General features: G+C 36.3%; 1 protein-coding gene across 6 annotated transcripts in view, besides 1 other annotated feature; it reads right to left on the bottom strand.

The window, feature by feature from the left end:
• The window catches only part of ANKUB1 (ankyrin repeat and ubiquitin domain containing 1), a 31455-nt gene extending 27992 nt beyond the window's left edge, over positions 1–3463 (bottom strand). For 3 of the 6 annotated variants that reach the window (XM_011512799.2, NM_001144960.3, NM_001315506.2), the window contains exons 1-2: positions 3186–3463; positions 1690–1833 (exon numbers count right to left, since the gene is read on the bottom strand). In XM_011512799.2, coding sequence (XP_011511101.1) covers positions 1690–1833; positions 3186–3275 — 234 coding nt within the window. In that variant the 5' untranslated portion in view covers positions 3276–3463. Of the gene's footprint in view, positions 1–1689; positions 1834–3185 lie in introns of those variants that run through there. The other 3 variants (NM_001315505.2, XM_011512798.2, XM_011512801.2) reach the window with 2 other exon arrangements.
• Positions 1150–2349: an enhancer, noted in NCBI's record as "MED14-independent group 3 enhancer chr3:149508028-149509227 (GRCh37/hg19 assembly coordinates)". NCBI's record gives its function as "activates an origin of replication core promoter dependent on BRD2, BRD4, P300/CBP and CDK7 cofactors, and independent of MED14, by STARR-seq in HCT116 cells {active_cell/tissue: HCT116}" and the evidence as "EXISTENCE:reporter gene assay evidence [ECO:0000049][PMID:35650434]".
• Positions 3464–14141: the final 10678 nt, after the last annotated feature.

A 14141-nucleotide genomic window follows, 5' to 3' on the forward strand; every position in this document is an offset into this window, starting at 1 on the left:
TATCTTTTTGTTCCTTTTGAATTGAGAACCATGTGAACATACTACCTAGTCAAAAATAAATTTTAAAATGTTATATAATAAAAATAAAATCAGTCCTTAGTTAAATAAAAGTATCCTATCCATACTGTTAAAAACCTTGTCTACATCCCTGAAAAGCCGTCAGATTCTTCCAGTCAGCTCAAATGTTAGTATTGAACTTACACTACCATCTCTAAGCAAGCAAACAATAAAAAGTCTTGAACCTTATGATTGGTATTACAGACTTCTGGGAAATTTTAGAGAGTTGATCCTGTACGGCACCAAAAACCTAGTATGGAAATATATTTAAATATGTAAAGAGAAGACATTAAGAAGTGGCTGGAATTTGGTCTGCTTTGAAATGTAATGTTATACTTCCATTTTCTGAGTAAAAGAGGCAGAAAATAAAACATTAAAAACGTATGTAAATATGGTCTTTTGTTTACATAAATGGGATGATTCAATGATCATTATTCTGTGACTTGTCTTTCCTACTTAATAATAAATATTGAAGAATATTCTTTTTTTTTTTTTTTCCGAGATGGGGTCTCACTCTGTTGCCCAGGCTGGAGTGCAGTGGCTCGAGCTCAGCTCACTGCAACCTCCCCCTCCTGGGTTCAAGTGATTCTCCTGCCTCAGCCTAATGAGTAGCTGGGACTACAGGCTCATGCCATCACGCGCAGCTAATTTTTGTGTTTTTAGTAGAGATGGGGTTTCACCATGTTGGCCAGGATGGTCTCTATCTCCTGACCTCATGATCTTCCCACCCAGGTGTGAGCCACTGCACCCAGCCCAGAGTATTCCTTTTAAACATCCATTTAGTCAAGTACTAACATATATTAAAAGAAAGAGTTAACTTTGACTACCATAATTTTTTAAAATGTTAAATATGAGAAACTTGGGGCACCATTTAGCGGAGAATGTATACTTTCCTAAGTTTCCTAAAGTTCATATTTTTATATACGGTAAAGCACTAACACAGGATAATACTTCTACCCTAGAGCAGCAGCATTTAAATTCTTTGGATCACCCGTTCCTTAAAAAAATTGTTGACCATAAAGGATCTTAGACTCAGAAAATCTCCAGGCACATTAATTTTGTTTATATTACAATTTTAGGGTTTTTTAAGGTTCTTAAAGCCCAACCGTGCATCTTAAGCACCATTGATTAAGGACCCTCTATAAATGAAAAAATATCTTTATTGCCTGTACACCTAATTGGAATGGCTACTTTGGCTGGATTTGGATGTAGAAAATTCCCTTTCATTCTTATTGTTACTGAGAATTTCTTCTCCTTCCTCATTCCACTGCCAGTAATCACTGTGGCCCCACCAAAGTGATCTAATGCTCTTCTTCCCACATCAAAATTCCAGATCTGCCCCTTGGCTTTGTTTTCATATCGGTTCTGAGATGACAGGACTGGGCAGGCAATAAAGGGTGTGGGGAGGCAAGAGGAAGAAGAGTAAAGAGGGGGCAACTTTATCCCTTCTCCATGTCTTACTTCCCCTTACAGCACAAAGCATGCGTAAGACCTGTTATACAAATGGAAGTGAGGAGAAGGCAAAAAGAGACAATTTCTTTTTAAGTTATGGAATTACTTTGGTTGACTTATCCCCAACTTTATTCAAAATGAGATAGATATCTTAGACGAATATTATCCTGACCATCATACCTTAACAAAGCATTTGAGAGTTGAACAGAAAGATATTCCAACATCAGCAAGACTCCAACTGTCCTTTAGAGCAGCTCCAGCATACATTAACTCCAGATACCGCCTGCCTTGTTTGTCTTCAGAGAGAGGAATGTGGAAATAATCCTTAAAAATCAATAGCATATTATGAAAACAGTACATCCTTACGTTACTAGACCAGAAATGTACTCTCTTTCCCTTTACATTTTTTTCCTCTGGGCATTATAATTGTTTGGGACAAAGGGAAGAAGTATTAAATAGGGGTTCTTAACTTAGAGAACTTCCAAAACATTTATGGGTAGAATTTAGATGGGAAGAAACTACATCTTTATTTTATTAACTCTAAATGAAATTGAGATTTTCTTTCAACTATACATGTAGGCAGCAAATTAAAGTAGGAGTAGTCGCTGTACCTGTGACTGACACCAATAGAAGTCACAGATGTTTTCATATCACATTATAGTTGTTGCAAATATTTCAAAATATTATTTCTACTGATCTGTATTTTGAAAATAATAGTTATTAGATGAGCTGCTAGAACTTGTTAGTTAATGTGTTAATTAGGAAGTCCACATGTCACTATATCATACATTTGCTTTTTAATATTGGAAAATGTATTTCAATATAACAAATTTCATTTCTATCATATCTGTTTTATTTTATGCATTTAAAGACATTCTGAGAAGCAGTCTATAGACATCACCAGACTTCCAAAGGGGTTAATAAAACATAGAGGTTAAGATCCCTTGTGTTACAAGATTTAGATTTCAATCATCATAATAATCTACTGAATATCATGTAACTATGGTTCAGTAAATGCCGCTTAGCAAATAGGAATGACCATCTCCAAGTTAAATATTTGATGATCAGAAACTAAATATTTTGCTTAATTTTTTATTTTAGAGTGAACATTTATATGAAATTTATAAGGAAGATACTATACCCAAGTTATTTCTTATTCTGGCTCTGTGATCCTAGGTAAGATAGTCAACCTCTCAGAGCTTCAGTTTTTTCTGAATGCAAAATGAAGCCATAGCTCACAAGTTCTCTAAAGTCCTCTCTGCTTCCAAAATCTTCTGTTCTTTGTAGTTGTTTGCTCACCAAATAAGACATTTATCTGATGACTGGCATGTCCCACGTATATAGCCTGAAGTTGGTGTCTTGCTTTGGTCCTTTTATGAAGAATTGCAATAATATTATCTGGCCTATGCACAACCCACACATTCCCTAAAAAGAAGTCAGACTTTTTTTTTTTCTTGATAATTGACTGGCTCTTTTTGCTTTCTTGTCCAACACTACCAGAGTTACTATCTTCTTATAAATCTATTGTGTAAGCAAATAATAGTATTTTCAAATAGTTTTCGTTCCCTGTTTGCTGAAAATGTACCCAATAGCATCTCTACCCTTTGTACATTTTTAAATGCACTGCATTGTTAAAATTAATATACATTTTGGTGGTTTGGGAACGAAGTACATACCTTTATCATCAGCTTGACAACCTCCACAGTTTCATCTGCTGAAACATCAAACGGTTCAAAAGATCCTTCAAAGGCGATGAAAATCCTCATTGTACAATTACCTTTTCAAACAAAAAATATCCAACTTTTTCAAAGATTCTCCTGGATGGCTAGAAAAATTCCGGTTCACAATTAAGGACAAAAATGATAGCCAGAGGCAGCTGTCACTGTCTAGCCTCAAAGGTAAGTTGTAGAATGTGAAGAGCCTAGTCCCACAGTGCCACAGTATCAGGCAACACAGACACCAGCTACTTTGGAGGAAATATTTATCTGCGGAAGGCAGTAGTCAATAGCCACCTTATTCCTATATTACGGAAACCAGCAAACTTGACAATGGTTGAGGCAAGTATGGACAAGCTTCAAGCATGTGATACAAAAATGCTACTCATAAATTACACTTTTGTGATGTGGTCCCCATCAACTGACTCCTGAATTCTTATTTACATAAGTACAGCTGATTGAAGAACCCTTAAAAATAGATATTTGATTGGGATGCACTAGCACAGGGTGAAGCAAAACAAGAGTTGATTTTATTGAATGTGATAATCCTGAAAGTTCTCTGTAAATAACTCTTGAGCTGAAACATTCTGGTTTCCATAACAACTTTGTGTACTTGTTCTCTGGCAGTATTTATAATCCTGCCACAGGGTACAGAACAATACCCACTTGCACCAGGGAGATGAATGTGTAGGCAAATCATTCTGTGGCTTTCTTTTCTGATTTCTGTGTCATAGAATCTGCTGAGTAGCAACACAATATAGTTGGTATTTTCTTTAATCCTTGCCTTTATGTTATTTAGAACAATTTCCCATTGTTATCTCCTTCAACCCCCACTTAGTGTTGGTGGAAAATATTTCAAACCCGCTCAATAAGCGAGCAAATAAGCTGAACATGGTGGCACATGCCTGCTATCCCACCTACTCAGGAGGCTGAGATGGGAGGATAGTTTGAGCCCAGAAGTTTGGGGGTGTAATACGTTGTGATTGCACCTGCGAATAGCCACTGCTTTGCAGCCCAGGGAACATAGCAAGAATCTGTCTCTTCAACATAATAGAAGAAAATACTCCATTTATAAAAGGAAAGATAATGTATTAAGAATAAACTTGGCTGGGTGCGGTGGCTCACGCCTGTAATCCCAGCACTTTGGGAGGCCAAGTTGGGCAGATCACTTGAGGTCAGGAGTTCGAGACCAGCCTGGCCAACATGGTGAAACCTTGTCTCTACTAAAAATACAAAAATTAGCCAGGTGTGGTGGCACATGCCTGTAATCCCAGCTACTCTGGTGGCTGAGGCACAAGAATCACTTGAACCCTGGAGGCAGAGGTTGCAGTGAGCTGAGATCACACCACTGCACTCCAGCCTGGGCAACAGAGTGAGACTCTGTCTCAAAAAAAAAAAAAAAAAAAAAGAAAGAAAGAAAGAGAAAGAAAGAAAGAAAGAAAGAAAGAAAGAAAGAAAGAAAGAAAGAAAGATCTTAACAAGAAATGTGTAAGAGCCGTATAACATAAACATAAAATACAATCAATAAACATAAAAAAGGGCTGAACAAGTGGCAGGTATATCATAACCTTGGATGGAAGGTTCAAAATTATTTAAAGTCATCAATTCTTCCTAAATTTATCTATAAATTAATATTATCTCAATAAAAATACAAGCAAGATTTTTTTTGTTTATGTAAGCAAGATGGTTCTAAAATTCATGTAGAGAAAACAGGCAAGGATAGCTGGAAAAACTCTGGAAAAGAAGAGTAATGAGGGGGCAGTCACCTACTAGATGTTAGAATTTAATATAAGGCTACAGTAATTAAAACAGGATGGTACAGGCACATGAAGAGTCAGAAAAATCAATGTAAAAATAGAAAGCATAGAAATGGATTCAAATACATAAAAGAATTTAGTGTATGGTAAAAGTGACATCTAACTAATCAGTGGAGGTGGAGTGGGAAAATAAGATAAATTATTAATAGTGTTGGATTAACCAGGTAGTCACCTGAAAAAAACACTGGAGACTTACTTTTTACCTTACAGCAGGAGAAATTAAAAATGACTCTAAAACGAGTTTAAAAATTTAAATGGGAAAAATTGAATCATGAAAACTTTAGTCTTCTTACATTTCATGAGATTTTTCAATCATCTTGAGTAATAAGACCTTTCTAACTGTGACAAAAATTCCTAAAGCTGTCAAAGAAAACATTGATCAATTCAACTTTTTTTTAAAAAAAATCTACATGGAAAAGTAATTTGATATAAAGCCAGGGATAAATAAAGTTAGAAAAATATCTGCAGCTGGGCATGGTGGCTCACACCTGTAATCCCAGCACTTTGGGAGGCTGAGGTGGGCGGATCACAAGGTCAAGAGATAGAGACAATCCTGGCCAACATGGTGAAACCCTGTCTCTACTAAAAATGACAAAAATTAGCCGGGCACGGTGGCGGGCGCCTGTAGTCCCAGCTACTTGGAAGGCTGAGGCAGGAGAATCACTTAAACCCGGGAGGTGGAGGTTGCAGTGAGCCGAGATCACACCACTGCACTCCAGCCCGGTGACACAGCGAGACTCTGTGTCAAACAAAAAAAAAAGAAAAAAGAAAAAGAAAAATACCTGCAATTCTTGGTAGAGATAAAAGGTGCGTTTAATATATAAAGAGCACCCACAAACATTTTAAGGACATGATGCCATTTTTTACCAGGAAATTGGAAAAGATCCAAAAGTTTGATTACACATTCTTGCTGAGTTTGTTCCAATGATACTTTGCCATAGGGAATGTGATTTGGTACAACCCTGTATAAAGGAAAATTTGGAAATATATATTAAAATTACTAATGCACATATTCTTTGACCCAACGATTTAATTTCTAGAACTTTATTTTTACAAATATTTATATGCTTATTTGCAAAATGATATAGGTGTAACATTATTCATTGCAGAGTTGTTTGTAATAGCAAAAGATTAGAAACACCTTTCATGTCCATCAATAGGGAACTGATTAAACAAATTATTTTTCATTCATACAAGACTATACAGCTATTGAAAAGAACAAAGAAGTTTTTTCTGTACCACTATTTAAAAATCTTTAAGGTATATCATTTTGTGAAAAAAGCAAGGTATAAAATACAGTGTGCAGTACATTGCCATTTGTGGAAAAAAAGGGAAAAATCATATCTATATCTATATATATGGATATAAATCTGTTTTGTGCATATACCTCAAAATCTCTGGAAATACATTCAGAAAACTGGAAAATTTGGCGCCTGTGGGGAGGAGACTTAAGCGTCAAGGGTGAGGACAATATTTTTCATCGCATTATATTTTTCTTTTAAATAGATTTTATTTTTATTTTTATTTTATTTTTTAGAGTAGTGTTAGGTTCACAGCAAAATTGGGTGGAAAGTACAGAGAGTTCCCATATGCTCCCTCCCTCCACATATGACAGTATTCTTCACTATCAAAATCCTGAACCAGAATGGTTCATTTTTTTACAAATGGTGAACATAGATTGATACATCATTATCACCCAAAGTCTGTAGTTTACACTAGGGTGTTGTACAGCACTCTTGGTGCTGTATATTTTATGGGCTTTGACAAATGCATAATGACCTGTATCCACCATTATAGTATCAGAGAGGGTAGTTTCACTGCCCTAAAAATCCTCTGTGTTCTGTTTATTCATCCCCCATTTCCTTCACCTGTCCCCCAATCCTGGCAATGAAGAACATCTTGGTTGCTTCCAAGTTTTGGAAATTATAAATAAAACTGGCATAAATATCTGTATACAGGTTTTTGTTTGGATATAAGTTTCAACTCCTTTGAAGAAACACCAAGGATCATGACTGGGGGATCATACGGTAAGAGTATGTTTAGTTTTGTAAGAAACTGCCAAACTGTCTTCTGGAGTGACTATACCATTTTGCATTACCACCAGTAATGAATGAGAGTTCAGTTCCTGTTTCTCCACATCCTCACCAGGGCTTAATACAGTGTTTGTTATTATCTTTTTATTCTTTTTAAATTTTGAACCATGTGAATGCATTAAATGAAATAAAATGAAAAAAAAAATAAAGAGTCCAACTTACAGCCCTTCCAAGAAGCCTTCTTGATGTCACCAGGGAAGTTGACTTGTTTTCTCTATTCCCCTGCTGCATCATACATTCTTTAACTACAGGATCTTTTATACTGCATCAATTTATTGTGTCAGTGACAGCCTCCTCCACTAGACTGTGAGCTTCCTGATGGTGGGGCAGTGTCTTATTCTCCTTTGTATCCCCAGTGGCCTAGCCCAGAGCCTCACAATGAATGAATAGACAAGCTAGATTAATATCATTAAAAATTGCCTTGTAACAATAAAATGACAGGTAGACTTGAAAAACTCATAGCAGTTTAGAGACAGCTTAAAATGATAAGGATTACACTTGATTCTCTCAGTTGCAATTTAGGAACAGCTTTCCTTAGCATCTAGAGGCCCTTTTTGAGTTATTTTTCTTTTTCCAAGAGTGGTAAAACTAAGTTAGTTAGCCTACTGGGGACCTCCTACATGCAATGGAACATGCTAGGTCTTTGGAAGATTTGGTCCTAGATATGATCTTAAGGGATTTGCTATGAGTAGGAAAGATGACAGATGTCCAAAACACCTGGACCAGGGACTGTATTATAGGATGAAGTATAAGAAAGGTGTGAATAAAACAGAAGGTATGGAGGTGAAGACACACTTGATCTGAGATAAGATATATTGTTAATTCATTTATTCATTCAATACATGCACACTGTAGGAAAGTTGTGGTATCCTTCTTCATCCATCATAAGGGTCATGGCCAACACTCCTATAACAAAGACAGATTAATAAGAGAAAAGCATAGCAAATGTATTTAATCAAAGTTTTAGTGACATGGGGAACTTCAGAAATGAAGATTCAAAGACCCAGGGAAAACTGACCATTTTAATGCTTAGATTTGATGAAGAATGAACAGCCATGTAGAAATGAAATTGGACAAAGGGGTATAATCTAATGGTAATTGACTGAGGGGGAAAACTCAGCAAGGCCTGTCTGTTCATAGTCTTCTTGGCCTGTCTGTGTAGCACCCCTTCCTCCCAGGTATAGGACAGGACCCCTCTGGAATGAGGGTCTTTAAGGGAGAAAGGAGAGAGTCACCTTTCTAGATTTTTTAGCTTACATTAGAGATGAGGAGTTCTAGTTTTTATGTCCTGCCTTGGAGAAGAGGAATTCTGGTTTCTTTGACTCCCTTCAGGGGAGGAGGAAGTGTGGGAAACCAGAGGGCAGGAGAAGGTCGAGAGAGACTTTGCTTCTGAGGCTGCTTCTGAGGCCTTCCAGTTTTCTTTAGTTCAAAGTACTCAGTACGCCAAAGTGACATACTTTTGAGTATCATTTTCTAAGCTGAACAGCACTGAGCCCCTAATACGTGTCAGGCACTGTTCTGTGCTGGATTATTGCAGTGAACAAGACATGGAGCTTCCAGTGTAGTGTGTATATGTGTGTATGTGTCTTTGGGGTGGAGAGGAGAGTAAGACTAGGTAGGGAATCGGGGGAGGGCAAATACAATAATTAAGTAACTGATAAATAAGGAAGCTCTGTTTAAAGAGAATGGTCAAATAGTAGGGCTAAACATGGAAAAAGTAAATAATACAAAATAAATGTAATGAATTAGGAAAGGAATTGCTTACTGGGAATAACAGTAGGGAATAATTAGATTTAATGCAGGGAAAACAAATAAATAGCAAGATGACACATAACAAGAGAGAAAGAGAAGGAAAAATAGTGTTACAAGAAGATCTGGATGCACATGAAAAGAAACAGCCATGCCACAACTAGTGACTAATATTTTAGTCCACTGTCCTCTTCTACATTTCAAAAATGGAAATCAGTTTCTTGATTCTTATTTCTGAGTTTAAAGCGTAGCATTCTACCTATTATAGTTTAACTCTTTAGGTTCCTTTAAAAAGCTTTGTCAAATTGTCCTTGTTTGCAGATGACATGATTGTATATTTAGAAAACCCCATCATCTCAGACCAAAATCTCCTTAAGCTGATAAGCAACTTCAGCAAAGTCTCAGGATACAAAATCAATGTGCAAAAATCACAAGCATTCCTATACACCAATAATAGACGAACAGCCAAATCATGAGGAAACTCCCATTCACAACTGCTATTTAAAATACCTAGGAATACCACTTACAAGGGGTGTGAAGGACCTCTTCAAAGAGAACTACAAACCACTGTTCAAGGAAATAAGAGCGGATGCAAACAAATGGAAAAACATTCCATGATCATGGATAGGAAGAATCAATATCATGAAAATGGCCATACTGCCCAAAGTAATTTATAGATTCAATGTTATTCCCATCAAGTTTCCATTGACTTTCTTCACAGAATTAGAAAAAACTACTTTAAATTTCATATGGAACCAAAAAAGAGCCAGTATAGCCAAGACAATCCTAAGCAAAAAGAACAAAGCTGCAGGCATCACACTACCTGACTTCAAACTATACTACAAGGCTACAGTAACCAAAACAGCATGGTACTGGTACCAAAACAGATATATAGACCAATGGAACAGAACAGAGGCCTTAGAAATAACACATCTACAACCATCTGATCTTTGACAAATCGACAAAAACAAGCAATGAGCGAAAGGATTCCCTATTTAATAAATGGTGTTGGGAAAACTGTCTAGCCATATGTGGAAAACTGAAACTGGACCCTTCCCTTACACCTTATACAAAAATTAACTCAAGATGGATTAAAGACTTAAACGTAGCACCTAAAATCATAAAAACACTAGAAGAAAACCTAGGCAATACCATTCAGGACATAGACATGGGCAAAGACTTTATGACTAAAACACCAAAAGCAATGGCAACAAAAGCCAAAATTGACAAATGGGATCTAATTAAACCAAAGAGCTTCTGCACAGCAAAAGAAAATATCATCAGAGTGAACAGGCAACCTACAGAATGGGAGAAAATTTTTGCAATCTATCCATCTGATGAAGGGCTAATATCCAGAATCTACAAGGAACTTAAACAAATTTACAAGAAAAAAACAAACAACCCCATCACAAAGCGGGCAAAGGATATGAACAGACACTTCTCAAAAGAAGACATTTATGTGGCCAACAAACATATGAAAAAAAGCTCATCACTGATCATTAAAGAAATGCAAATCAAAACCACAATAAGTTACTGTCTCATGACAGTTAGAATGGTGATCATTAAAAAGTCAGGAAGCAGCAGATGCTGGAGAGGATGTGAAGAAATAGGAACTCTTTTATACTGTTGGTGGGAGTGTAAATTAGTTCAACCATTGTGGAAGACAGTGTGGCAATTTTTCAAGGATCTAGAACCAGAAATACCATTTGACCCAGCAATTCCATTACTGGGTATATACCCAAAGGGTTATAAATCATTCTACTATAAAGACACATGCACACATATGTTTATTGCAGCACTATTCACAATAGCAAGACTTGGAACCAACCCAAATGCCCATCAATGATAGACTGGATTAAGAAAATGTGGCACATATACACCATGGAATACAATGCAGCCATAAAAAAGGATGAGTTCATGTCCTTTGCAGGGAAATGGATGAAGCTGGAAACCATCATTCTCAGCAAACTAACACAGGAACAGAAAACCCAACACTGCATGTTCTCACTCATAAGTGGGAGTTGAACAATGAGAACACATGGACACAGGGAGGGGAACATTAGGAGATAGCTGGGGGAGGGATAGCACTAGGAGAAATACCTAATGCAGATGATGGGTTGATGGGTGCAGCAAACCACCATGGCACGTGTATACCTATGTAACAAACCTGCACATTCTGCACATGTATCCCAGAACTTAAAGTATGTATATATATAAAGCTTTGAAATAATTACATGCTTATATTGATTTTAAAATATTTTCTGATTTATGACATATTGATACATGGCATACATGTTATTGATATGTACAGAATAACAAGAAGAATTTTATGTTACATGGTAAATAGTATTGTAAATCAATGCTGAATGATTGGTGGTCCTTTATGATACTATTTACCTTAGAAGTATCTGCTTTGGTATTAAAATGTCAATGCTAATGTGTTGAGAAAGAATTGATAGTATCTATTTTTAATATCTAACTATGCTTTTATTATTGTGACTTTTAAAATTTGTCATTGAGTTTTGTTCTTTCTTTCCATCTAAGAAAGCATAAATATGCATTCGAATCATCTGGTGATCCTTTTTATATGTTGTTTCTCACTGAGAAGTTCTAGAGTGGGACCTGGGATTTTCAATTTAATAAACTCCCTGGACCATACTTTGTTTTTTTGTTTGTTTGTTTTTGTTGTTGTTGTTGTTTTTTGAGATGAAGTCTCGCTCTGTCGCACAGGCTGGAGTACAGTGGGACCATCTCAGCTTACTGCAACCTCCACCTCCTGGGTTCAAACAATTCTCCTGCCTCAGCCTCCCAAGTAGCTGGGAACGCAGATGCACACCACCATGCCTGGCTAATTTCTGTATTTTTAGTAGAGATGGAGTTTTGCCATGTTGGCCAGGCCGGTCTTGAATTCCTGAACTCAAGTGATCCGCCTGCTTTGGCTTCCCGAAGTGCTGGGGTTGCAGGCTTGAGCCACCGTGCCCGGCCTCCCTGGACCGTACTTTGAATAGCAAGGAACTAGAAGTTATATGGAGCTTTTAAAAAAAAGTAATTGTAAAGAGAAAGAATTTTTGTCCCAGCTGCCTCCCAATTTAATACAAAGAAAAGCAAAAGAATATTGTCCTTTAAAATTCACCTAAAAATAGTTTCACAAAACAGTGGTTTTAATCTTGCATTATTTGGTTATTACTATTATTTGATATACCTAGTGTCTTTAATTGGATCATCTAAACACATGGCAAATGCAATTGAACAGTTCCCTCATGTCTTTATTTTTGGAAGTGAAAAAACTAGGGGCAGATGCATCTCATTAAATTGCTAAGATCAATAAAGACTTAACTATAACCAAGATGGAAGCTGGGAGAATTTCCAGACATTAGAGCTCATCACTAGATGCAAAGACTCTTTCAAGGAAGTGAAATTGTGCAATTGATAGCCAGAATAAACTCATGCTTGATATAGGAAATAACAAGCAGTAAACAGGAAAGAAATCTACAATTAGGAAAATAAGCAGTATTTAGGAAAATAGCAGTTATAAAACAGTTTATTGTCAACTAAAATCGAACAAACAGTAGGCTAATTGAAGTACTATGTATCATTGTGTTAGTTGGAATGTTTTATATCAATACAGGACTTGTAAATTAAATTATAACTTTAACCACAGTCCCATTTAGTAGAATGAAACACATCATGCTTAGCAGTCTCCTTTCTGCTATCCCATCCCCTATCTTGTGTTTAAATTGTAGAGAAAGCTCTTAAATATTCATCGAAGCCCCACAGATAAGGACGGTGCCTTCTCCGATCTTCTGTGTTCTCATTTTTGTTTAGTATTCCCCATTCTGTGGATTTTCCTTCCCTGCCTTAAGAATGTGTTTAGTCATGCAGTCTGCAGAAGAGTGTTGGGGTCAGGGGTGAGAACTGATCAAATATGAGGTGGCAATAGCTGACAATTAAATCTTTGATGTCTTTCTTTTTTCTGGATCCAAAGAAAAGAATTAATGTAGGCATTTCAGATACCGTTGTAAGGGTTCCGTGTGGAAAAAACTGTGAGGCAGGAACCAAGGATTCTCAAAACCTGCTTGACATATGCTAAAGGCTAGCTTTAAATATATTTTATTTAGTATAGTAGTTTTATTTGAAAGGTGCAAAGGAGGCTTCCTGTAAATTATCAAGCAGTTTTCCTACCTCAGCCTCTCAAAGTGATGGGATTATAGGCATGAGACACTGCACTTAATCCCAGTGTACAGATCTTTTATTACCTCCTTGGTTAAATTCTTTTCTAAGTATTTTATTCTTTTTGATACTATAATAAATTGAATTATTTTTAAATTTTTTTCTTGGATAGTTTATTGTTAATGTATACAAATCCTACCAAACGTTTAAATGTTCATGTTGTATTCTGCAACTTTACTGAATTCATTTATTAGTTCTAACAGTTTCTTGATGTAGTTTTTAGAGTTTTCTATATGTAAGATCATATCATCTGCAAACAAAGACAATTTTACTTCGTCCCTTCCAATTTGTATGTCTTAGATTTCATTTTGTTGCCTAGTTATTCTGACTAGGACTTCCAGTATTATATATTGAAAATAATTGGTGAGAGTGGGTGTATTAGTCGGTTTACGTGCTGCTGATAAAGACATACCTGAGACTGGGAAGAAAAAGAAGTTTAATTGGACTTACAGTTCCGTATGGCTGGGTAGGCCTCAGAATCATGGAGGGAGGCAAAAGACACTTCTTACATGGCAGTGGCAAGAGAAAAATGGGAAAGATACAAAAGCAGAAATCCCTGATAAAACCATCAGATTTCACGAGACTTATTTACTGTCTTGAGAGCAGTATGGGGAAACTGCCCCCATTATTCAAATTGTCTCCCATCGGGTCCCTCCCACAACATGTGGCAATTATGGGAGTACAATTCAAGATGAGATTTGGGTGGGGACACAGAGCCAAACCGTATCAGTGGGCATCCTTGTCTTGTTCTTGTTTTAGAGGAAAAGCTTTCGGTTTTTCACCCTTGAGTTTGATGTTGCTGTGGGCTGGCCATATATGATCTTTATATTGTATTGAGGTATATTACTTCTATACCTAATTTGTCAAGAGTGGATTTTTTAATCACAAAAGGATATTGAATTTTGTTAAATGCTTTTTTCTGTATCAATTGGGATGATCATATGATTTTTGTCCTTCATTCTTTTTTTATTCTATTTTTTTTATGGTTTTCTTTTTTATTTTATTATTATTATACTTTAAGTTTTAGG

Source organism: Homo sapiens, chromosome 3 (genome assembly GCF_000001405.40).
Source record: "Homo sapiens chromosome 3, GRCh38.p14 Primary Assembly".
NCBI classification, from domain to species: domain Eukaryota; kingdom Metazoa; phylum Chordata; class Mammalia; order Primates; family Hominidae; genus Homo; species Homo sapiens.